General features: G+C 39.4%; 1 long non-coding RNA gene across 3 annotated transcripts; it reads right to left on the bottom strand.

Moving 5' to 3' along the window:
- Positions 1-992: 992 nt before the first annotated feature.
- On the bottom strand, positions 993-8,862 carry EPCART (ERG-positive prostate cancer associated androgen responsive transcript). Of its 3 annotated transcripts, none has more exons than XR_923634.3 (4): positions 8,323-8,837; positions 6,976-7,071; positions 2,810-2,917; positions 993-1,219 (listed from the first exon to the last, which is right to left on the bottom strand). It is a non-coding gene; the product is annotated as an ERG-positive prostate cancer associated androgen responsive transcript (long non-coding RNA). The 3 variants fall into 3 exon arrangements; XR_001739226.1 differs by lacking the exon at positions 993-1,219 and adding an exon at positions 2,434-2,592 and having other exon boundaries at positions 8,824-8,862; XR_001739225.1 differs by lacking the exon at positions 993-1,219 and adding an exon at positions 2,434-2,592.
- Positions 8,863-10,852: the final 1,990 nt, after the last annotated feature.

A 10,852-nucleotide genomic window follows, 5' to 3' on the forward strand; every position in this document is an offset into this window, starting at 1 on the left:
TCATATAAAAGTTGCTTCACTTTTTTGTGGCCAGTGTATTGGAGGAGAATGAATTTTAGTTATTTTAAAAAATATCAATTCCATGTATTCTTCCTGAACATTTACAGGCTTACTCCCTTTATTTCTAAAATACTTTTTTTCAGATGATTTCTAAGCATGGGTCTCTACTCATCAATGTTGCATGCAATATCTTGACTCCTTTTGACTACAAGCTCAGATCATTTTTATAGCTTACAAAAATTTTCCTCTCTTAATTTATTGCTTTGGCTCCATTTGTTCTCATTTGCCCTTGCAAATACCTCTTTTCTTAGAATGGATTGCCGTGCTTTGTCTATCATCTTTGGTGTAATATTTTTTCAACTTTTGTGTACATTCTTCGACAGCTTGTTTGATTTTTATTCTAAATTAGTGATGTATTTTTAGTATATTATCTCACAGTCTGTGAGTCGGGAATCTAGGCATGGTTTAGCTAGGTCTCCACCTCAAGATTTCTCATAAGGTTGCAATCAAGGTATTGGCAGGAACTGTCTTCTCATCTGAACTCTTAATCGAAGGAATATATGCTTCCAATCTCACTCCCCTGGTTGGTAGGTTTCAATTCTTTGAGGGCTATTGGCCTGTTCTCTGTCATGTGGGCAGCTCATCAAATGGCAGCTGTCTTCCCTTGGAGCAATCCGGAGAGCAATAGAGTGGGTGCCTCAGATAAAGCCAAAGTTTCTGCGTAAACTAATCTGGGAAGTGACATCTCAACACTTCTGTTGTATCCTATTTGTTAGAAGTCAGTAAGTCTGGTCTATGGTCAAACGGATGGGATTACAAAGTGTTACAATAGCTCGGGTCAGGGATCACGGGAGTCCATCTCAGGGGCTACCAAATGTGGGGATTGTGCTCAGTCACACAATATTACTCTACACTCCTCCTGACTTGTCCCATATTTAGTCAGATACAATCTTATTTCTAGGTTTTCTATCGGTTACCATCAGGACTTTAAATAATATTCTCAAAACTTTATTCTGTAGTCTTTCACCTTAAAACAGTTCCTCTTCCCTCTGTGCTATTTAATAGTAGGGTTCCCACACGCCCATCAGGTCTCTTTCTCTGCTTCCACCTCCCAAACTATTGTCATAAATTTCAATGTGGACATTGCCAGGGCTCATAGGATTTATATTCTCTTTCAGAATTAAAATTATGCCTTCTGTGACTTGTTGATGAGTTGATTCTGTGAAATAAAAATTAATAAACAGATTACTATACAATGAATATGTAAATATTCACTGCAGAATCAGCTCTGGAAATTTTACTATTTCTTTGATAATTTTCATTTCTCTATTTCTTTTCCATTATTTGGATATTGGGCCTCTTAGGATTTTTAAAAAATATCTCTTAACTCATATTTTACCTTTTGGGTTTTTGTGTTTTTGCTTTTTTGCTCTTTATTCTGGGAGATTTTCTTAAGTTTATCTTTTAGCCTTTCTCATGTATTTCAGCAATGTCTTTTAATTTGTGAGACATCTTTTATATTCCACAAACCTACACAAGTAGGTTAAATCTATTAAACAGATTAGAAAATATAGGCCTATGAAATTGTTATGACTTAGTTTAATCAAATAATGGAAAAGATGCAGGAAAAACCATATACATTTTATGTCATGCCCTCTTATATGCTTGAAAAATTCCATTAAAAATTAAAATATCAAGCTCACTTTTGTGTCCTTTAGGCACCACTTAGAGCTCATTCCTATTTGCTTTTCTTTGTACATTCATCTTGGCTTAAATGATCAGCTTCATGCTAATGACAACTGAATCAATCTATAGCTTTTGGCTTTATGCTCTAGTCTGACTCTAGTTTTGATTCCATCAACCTAAAGTATAGTTTCTACCACCTGTCTTGTTACTTCAAACTGTCAAGTTCTCGACTTGTGCCGAGTCAGACTAATCATCTGGCACCATCATTCTCTCTGTCATATTACCTTAAAACCTTGTGAAGGCTACACTATTTTCAAAGAGTACAAATTCAGATGCATAAAATGTAACATTCTTTATTTTTCTATAATGAAATATAATTATATTTTTACCTTATGCATCATTTCTAATAGTAGCAAAATAACCCCAATCATATCTAGAAAAATTCAATCACTTTAATGATTTCATAATTATTATATTCAATCAAATTTAGTGATCTCTCACTTATGTTTAACATTTATATTAAATATAAATTACATGTAATAACTATAAAATGTAGCTATATATACATATGCATATATTTAGTTATCACTAATATAATATGCTTAATATTTGGTGCCCTTTCTCTCTACTGCAGAGGAACAGTGTTGATGAGGAGGGGTCCTCATCTTGGTCTTGATCTGTCTCATGCTGTTGTCAGCTGAGATATTGTTATCCTGCCATTATCCTTGATTGTTAGCACAAATTCTTTTTGCTAAGATGTCTTTGCTCCCATCACAGTGTGGAAACTGAGGGTCCAATATCACTTTTTGCTGAGATAATTCATCACCAACTCCGACAGATCTTTGGGCTACAAACTCTCTAAAATATCTCAAATAACTTCTGTTGCTCAAGGACCTCTCTCCAGGGCTGTCAAGATATAGAACCATCATTAAGATCTGTGTGTCTGAGATAGCACTAACCTCAATGCCATGTGGTGGACAGAAAGGAGTCCATTCATGACTCTATCCTTGAATCTCTAGGGATAAGGGAGGGTGGTACATTCTTCTGGCTCCTTTTGATCCACAAGGTTTAGGGATGTGGAGGAGACAGAGAAATAGGAGTGGATAGTGTTCAAAGTACTTACTGTAAGTGTCTAACCTATCTTGTTCCTGTCCAACTTTCTTCTTTCCCAGGGGGATTTGCATGGTGGGGGGTGTGGGGGAGGGCGGTGGCAGAAAAGGAAGCAAGCAAGCTAGAATGGAGAAAACAAAAAGGTTTCTTAATTTTTTTTTTTGGAAAATATTCTGTGTTATATGCACAATGTAGCTTTATTTTTATTAACTTATTTAAAGCAAAGGATTTGAGATCTTTTTACTACTATCCCTTTTTGACATCCCAAATGGGTTAATGCCTGCATCATGTCTCCCAGCCCAATCGAAGGTAGGTCCGGGGGTTAATGTGCATGAAAAGAAACACATCAGTTAATGCATCATCTACTAAGTTTTGACTTTTCTTTCATTTCTTTCTCTTTGTGGATTCTGTATCCAAGATTCAAGACCTCTCTTTCCTTTAAAATACCTTTTCCTATTTGTCTCTTCCTTTCAATTCTGACAGCTACTGCTCTAGTCCCATATCAAAAGAGTTACCGAAATGTCCTCTCCTCAGACCTCCTTGACTCAAGTCTCTTACAATTTGAATCTATCTTCTGTATTGTTAATAGAATACTTTTCTTTAAACATCACTTTTATCATTTTAGTTCTCTACTAAAAAAAAAATATAATGGTTGCCAACTGGGTCAAATTCAAAGAAAATTGCTTCACTTGTGAATCCACTGTAATAGGGATGCACTTTATCTTTAAAACCTTATTTTCCAGTAGTCTCAGCAAGAAATGTTCTAGTTGATTCTTTATTAGTCGTGCTAATTTTTGCCTTAGAACTTATGTGGTATCTTTTGACAGTAGCGTTGGCCCCTTTTATTTATACCCTAATTCTTACCATCTTTCAAAACCCAGTTCAAGCCTCACCTCCTACCTGATGTCTCTTACCAGGGATGCAATTCACATTGATTTCTCTTGCCTTAAATTGGTTCTACCAAAACTTCCCTGCAGATTAGAATCACCTGGAGAGTGGGGGGGTGGCTTTACAAAATTTGCCCATGTTGCACTCCACTTGAAATAGGTCAGAGTGCTGAGCAGTGGAATCTAGGCATCAGTATATTTTAAAGATTCTCAGATGATTTCAATGGGCAGCAAAGTTTGGTCACCACTGCTTTTTTTTTCTGTGATAGTGTGCTTCAGCTGTGCCATAACTTTGCACTTAGTTATATACTTGGTCGAATATTGGTATCCAGTTCTTTTCAGTAGTCACCTAGATGGCAATATACCAATGGAAAGAAGACAAGTTTTATGCTGATTGAAGTAGAGACTGTTGTTGCTCCACCCAGATTTCCTTATTACTCTACTAATACTATGATCTAGTTTTTACTAACAACTTCTGACACCAAATGTGTGGGACTCTTTCCCCCAACATCAAGTTTCCAACTCTCTGCACACCAACTGGTTGTCCTACAGTTTAACCTGATTCTGACATTAACTACCCAGAATTAGTGCAGACCCCACAGTTGAAGAGCTGATTCCCACAACCCCCACTTCAGATGCCAGTTGCAAGTCCAGGGCCTACCATACTTCTGATGACCAGCTATAAGTCAGGTGTTGTCATGACCCCTTTTCAGGGTCAATATATTTGCTAAAATGGCCCACAGAACTCAGAGAAGCTCTTTTCTTACTCTTACTGCTGTATTATAAGGTATATTATAAAGGATACAGATGAACAGCCAAATGGAAAAGGTGCACTGGGCAAGGTATGGGAAGGGAGGGGTGCAGCACTTCCACGTCCTCTCTGGGCATGCCATCCTCCAGCACCTTGATGTCTTCACCAACCTAGAAGCTCTCTGAACCCCATGTTCAGTGTTTTTATGGAGCTTGCATTGTTGTATTACATAGACATCACTGAGTCTCCAGCCCCTAATCCCCTCCCAGAGGTCAGGGGGTGGGGCCAATATCACATGAGAGGTTCCTCACTGTCAGCTTCCATGCAGAAGCTATCTAGGGACCTATCAAGAGTTGCCTTGTTAGCATAAACTCAGGTGTGATAGAAAGAGGCTTATTATGAATAATAAAGGACTCTTCTGTCACACCTATCACTCAGGAAATTCCAAGAGTTTTAGAAACTCTATGCCAGGAACTGGGGACAAAGACCAAATATATATTTTCCTTATTATATAACAATATCACAATCTCTTTGCACATCTGCTTTGCCCCTCCTGCAGCCTTGGCATGGTTTTTCTTCCAATGGCCAGCACCTGTGAACATTCTTTGCTGGCCCAACCAAGCAAATGAAATTAACATATTCATTAGATAAGAACCCAGGCTCCTTATCTAATGAATAATGTGTTTTGGAGCATGAGAGCCCAGTTCCTTTGCTTCCAGTTGGGACAAATTTCCTACAGGATACTTGGAGTTCCCTTTAGGACCAGGCTGAGGCTATCCTCTATGGGACTTGGTCAGAAACACACTATTGCTTGGTTTTGCCTTCCTATTCTGCTTTCCCTACTCCCTTACTTATTTCTCTTGAGAGCACCTTCTTAATCACTTGCTCATGAATCTTCATCTCAGAGTCTGCCTCTGGGGAACCCAGCCTAAGATACTTATCTCTCTCTCAAAGCATAGTGCTGAGCACATATAAAATTCAATGAAGATTTATTAGTACAGGGATTTTTGATATAAGTAGAATCACAATTTAATAAAATCTTAGTTGTGAAGGTACTGAAATATAATATATTCAGAGGTTCTCCATAGCATTATATATACTTTCTTAAATGTAAATTTAAATTCCTGGATATCTTGAAATCTCACTTGGCATAGGAAATAATGGACTGGGTAAAATTAATAATATTTATAAAAATATTTGACATACAGTTTGGGACCAAGCAGTGTAGTATCAAGGCAATTGCTTGTTATTTTTATACCACAATTGAACAGCACATTGGGAGACCCTGCATTTAACCTCACATGATAAGATCTTGAGAGAAGCTTTTTCTCTTGACCTGAAAATAGTGACAAGAACACAAAGATGAAAGTAAACAAGTGTTATGTGATTTTAGGGACCTTTCATTTCACTCCAAAGCTTAGATAAAGATTCAAGGAAATTGGTGATCTGGGTACAAGAGAGAAGAGTTTTGAGTATGAATTGGCCAATCCAGTTTTTCCACTCTCAAAGACTGGAGTGCCATACTAGGCCTGTTGAGTCTCAATCCCTTCCTCAAACTTCTGCCCTGCCATGTATCACAGGGGAGCTGAACTCTTCAGGTGTATTTTAGGTTGTATTTGGGTGAAATTACACAACTTAAATTATTTCACCTAAATACAACCTAAAATACACCTGAAGAGTTTGCCCCGCCCCGCCCCCCACGTGATATGTGGCAGGGTGTATTTTAGGTATATTTTAGTATTTCAGGTTGTCCAAGTCAGTTGGCTTCCTGTTGCTCTGGGCCAAGTGTGGAGACATTATTGGGACAGCAGAGCACACAAAAGGAAGGGTATTTCTACCACTCTCACTATGCCTCAGATGATGGTAACTCCATCCTCTCTGCAGCCCCAGTTCCCATCCCCACCACTCAGGCCTACCTGTGGCCTAGCTTCCACCAAGTAGCCCTGGGCCCTGGACCCTGGACCTGTGGGTCCCTCCAGGTGAAGGTGGCAGTGGCTTTCTGCTGCCATCAATCCAAGGTTTCTTTTTTCTCTCTTGGATCATGATTAATACAACTAGGCAGATTTGGGCTAGCAGAAGGGAAGCTATAGAGGGACAATTGGGAGGAGAAAGGAGCCCAAAGTCCTCCACATGAAGTGCTTATGGGGTGAGAAGCCTCATACTCCTCCCTTATGAGATTGTGGGTGGCACTAAAAGAAGGGAATCAGTATCTTATTTCCCAACTGGCTATTTCCTTAATCAGACGCTGAGTCAGGGAGAAGCAGCCTGTGGAGAGAAACAAAGAAGGTGGTTGCCATGGAACAGAGAAGATTCTGGCTTTGGAGTGACAAGAATGTACAAATCTCCCAAAGGCTGCGTGGATATGGGGAAAAGTAGCTGAACCTGAGTCATCTTAGCAGTACTTCCACCTGAGTCCTATTTACAGGCTGTAGATACTCCAGTGGGAAGAGGTTAATGGGGGAAGCTGTAAAGGGGTAGGAAAGACTGGCTAGAGTTGGATTTACCATGTCAGGGAGACTCTTCAGGGCCTTCTGAACTTACCCAATATCCCCTGAGGTAAGCAGTATTTCGGCACAGAGAGGACATCTATTGGTAGCTGGTGTTTTCTAGATGAGCAGCAATACCCAACAGAAAATTCTGCAACAAAAAGAATTGGGTGAAGAGACTATTTTGTTTCTTCTCCTCTGATCCCACCTCAAGTCATTAAAGAAGCTAGATCTTGATGTGGAGAAAGAAGAGGTTTTGTGCAACCAGATTGGCTTCATGGTTTTGGAGTCGGGAGGAGGGGCAGGCCAGACCCCTTTGGGGCGCCTGTTTTACAAGCTGAGCTAGGTAAAATTACATGATTTATATGAACTATGACAATGATCAATTATCAATGGAATCTGCCTGAGATATCATTCAGGGGCAAGAAAGCAGAAGTTGACCAATCATATGATTAGAAAAAGAAAATTGCTTCTGATTAATATCCATTGAGTTCAAACCATTTAGTGAAACAGTTACCCTTAAACTATCAGCTCATCTAGAACAGAGTTTTGCAAACAACATTTTGTGGGCCAGTAAAACAGATTTTTAACACCTTGCATTTTTACCTCTCTGATCCCTTCTCAGAACCACCAGCAGATTTGACAACTGTTTTCCTCCTTACTCTGTCTCTTCCTTGACTATACAGTAGAAAATAGAGAATTCAATTTATTCAACTCTTTGTAATGTATGTGGTTATTTGAATCCTGTTGTATTCATACAGAACATGAGCTTTGTTCCTATATTTTCATATAATTGTTAATAAGTTATAAGAAGGTTTGAGGCTGTGGCATATAAACACAGCACATAAACATATATTTCTATATAACATAATCTTCCCACTTTTACTACATATTTTTACTAGACTGTTCTGGAAAAGCTATTTGTACATATTTCTTTGTGCACACAAGTTCCTCAGCTAACGGCTTTGCTCTGTTTTTATAGAACATGTTGTATATGGTTAAAAAATGTCTTTCACATAAGCCACATTTTTCCTGTTTTTGTTTACTTGTCTGTATTGCACCTCAATTAGCAAATCGTGCAGTCTTCTCTCCCTGTCATAATAACATAAACTATCTCCATTTTAGGCTGTTCGATGTAAAACAAAAATCCCCAAATTTCCACTAGATGGTGCTATGAGAATGCAAACTTCTTTGGTCAGGGTATATATAAAATCCTCAGTTATTGCAGCCTGTTATTTTGGCTTGTGAAACAGGTCTGCCCCCCACTAAATTAGATGCACAGGGATGATTTAATATTTAGTTAAGAGACGATGCAATATTTCCCACAAGTCTCTGAGGAGCCCAGGCAAAACAATGAAGAGGCATTTTTCGTCTAATCCTCATCCATACCACTTCTTCTTACCTGGCCTTTTTGGTATGCTACTCCATAGATACCTAGGAACAACCCCATAGTGGCAACATCTTTTGACCCCGGTCACTGCCACCGTCTATGGCTTCTTTACCCAGTCTTCCCTCCTTGGCTGGAGGGGGCTAATGGATTTATTACATTACTGACTGTCAGCAATTATTTTTTGACAATTTGTTCAGTGGTTTTCAAAGTGTGATTTCCCAGACCAGCAGTGTCATCTGGGAGGTTGTTACAATTGCAAATTCTCAGACTTCAGCTCGGACCTACTGAATTGGATGGGAGTGGAGACCAGCAATCTGCATTTTCACAAACCTCCCCGAGGTGATTCTAATGTGTAGGAAAGTTGAGAACCAGTGTGTTAAATACTTCCTGGGAACAAAACTGCCTTATCCTATTTGGATTAACCTCATTCCTGAAAGCCCTCAAAGAACAACTTTAAAGGTGGATAGGTGGGTGAAGAAATTTTTAAAGGTGTTGCCAGGTACAGTGGCTCACCCCTTTAATCCCAGCACTTTGGGAGGCTGAGTCAGGTGGATCACTTGAGCCCAGGAGTTCAAGACCAGCCTGGGCAGCATGCTGAAACCCTGTCTGTACAAAAACAAACAAACAAAAAATTAGCTGGGCGTGGTGGTGCACGGCTGTCCCAAGCTACTCAGAAGGCTGAGGTAGGAGAATCCGTTGGGCCCGGGAGGTTGAGGCTGCAGTGAGCCAAGATGGCGCCACTGCATTCCACCCTAGGCAACAGAGTGAGACCCTGTCTCAAAAAGGAAAAAAAAGTTTAAGGCGAGCATTTGTTCTACTTGGCCTACTCTGCTTTCCCTTTGGGTTGCTCTGCTCCCCTTGGGCTGCTTTGCTCTCCCTTTGGGTTCTGCCTGTCACTGAGGAGTCCTCACTGCAAAGGAATAGTGAAGCCTGTATCTAATGTGTAAATGTAGGAGAGTATGATTAGTAACTCACTTTTTTTTTTTTTTTTTTTTTAAAGAGATGCCCAGGAAGGCAGCCAGATGGCAGCATCGTTCCTACACTGTCTCTGCACTCCCAAAGGCAGTTTCTGGCCCTTTACTGTAGTCAAAGGAGATCGCGTAGCAGCGGTCGTTTATTGGCTAGGCTGTTTGTCTTTTTTCTCTACTGCAGCATGAGTCAGAACCCACAGAGAGAACCAGAGAGGAACAACCCGTTGATTAATGGGTCAGAGAGCTATGTAAGACTGTGATCTCCTATTGTCCCTGTTTCACGGAACAAATGTGGGGGATGCTACAAAGATTCAACACTAGGTAGACATCTAATGAAGCTGGGTTGCCATCAATCAGTTCAAACAGGTGTCTGGAATAGCTGTGTCTTCTGTCTTTTGATAAACACTGAGTACCTGCACATACAATTCCCTGGGAGCTTTTAAATCTCCTGATGCCCAGGCTGCACCCTAGACCAACCACATCAGAATCAGGAGAATGGTTTTAGGGCATCAGTACAGCTTTAAATCTTCCCAGGGGATACTAATGAGCATGAAGGGCTGGGAACCATGATATTAAAGACGTTGAGATGAAATTTGTGGCAAAGTTATTTCAATTGAGAAACCTGGGTTATTGTCTTATACCGTACTGTCAATTTCAACAGTGGAGTTTGTTGTTTTGGCCAGTTTTGATCTTGGCAAGTTTCGATATTCGAAATGGATTTTGTTGTATGACAGAAGGGGGCATCATCTCCTCTCCACCCCACACCACCTCCTTCTCTCTTTCCCCCTCCTCCTTCTCACTTGTTGTTCTGTTTTGTGTTTTGTTTTGTTTTGGAGGGGTGAAGACTGAAAATTTAAAACTGTGGCTACAAAATGGGCATATTACTGCTACTTAAAAGAAAAATTCTGACCAAAAATATATAGTCAATATTCTGAGTTTAAAATATTCTAAACTGTAAAAACCTTCTGTTTTTGCCTTCTGCCACATGTTCTTAGGTACCCTCAGGCTACAGTCCTTATTTTAAAGGATATGATAGTAAGAAAGTTACATCAGCCTTGATGAAAAGCTGTGAATTTAATCTTAGGAGCTCACACTGACTAGAGAGAATGAAAACATTCTATCATAATTGCTTGAAAAACTGTAGAACTACTCACTAGAGTTGGATATTGGTCTATAACCAAAACTCCTTTTGTATGGAACAAAGTGAGTTTCATGAAACTCTTTGTAAAAGATTTTCTTTATCCTGGAAAATCCTATATGTTTCCATGTAAAATTCTTAATAATAGGTAGAATGAAAGCTGGAGGGAAATATAATTGTGACATGTGAAGTATGAAATATACTTCAACTTAGTATAGAAGTATAGGCTTAATTCTTTGCACCAAGGGGCATCTAGAAACCATCTCCAGAAGCTTTCGGTGATACCTTATTAATCCTTCTCTAGGTGTACCACTTAGGAAATGTAAATGGTACTAAAAGAAATAATTTGTTAGGTCCTTAATCCCACAAAAGTTGATTAAGTCATTGTCTGTGAATAAAGACTAGGTGAGAAAATTGGGAGCTTTGGGAAAAG

Source organism: Homo sapiens, chromosome 2 (genome assembly GCF_000001405.40).
Source record: "Homo sapiens chromosome 2, GRCh38.p14 Primary Assembly".
In the NCBI taxonomy this organism is placed as follows: Eukaryota; Metazoa; Chordata; class Mammalia; order Primates; family Hominidae; genus Homo; species Homo sapiens.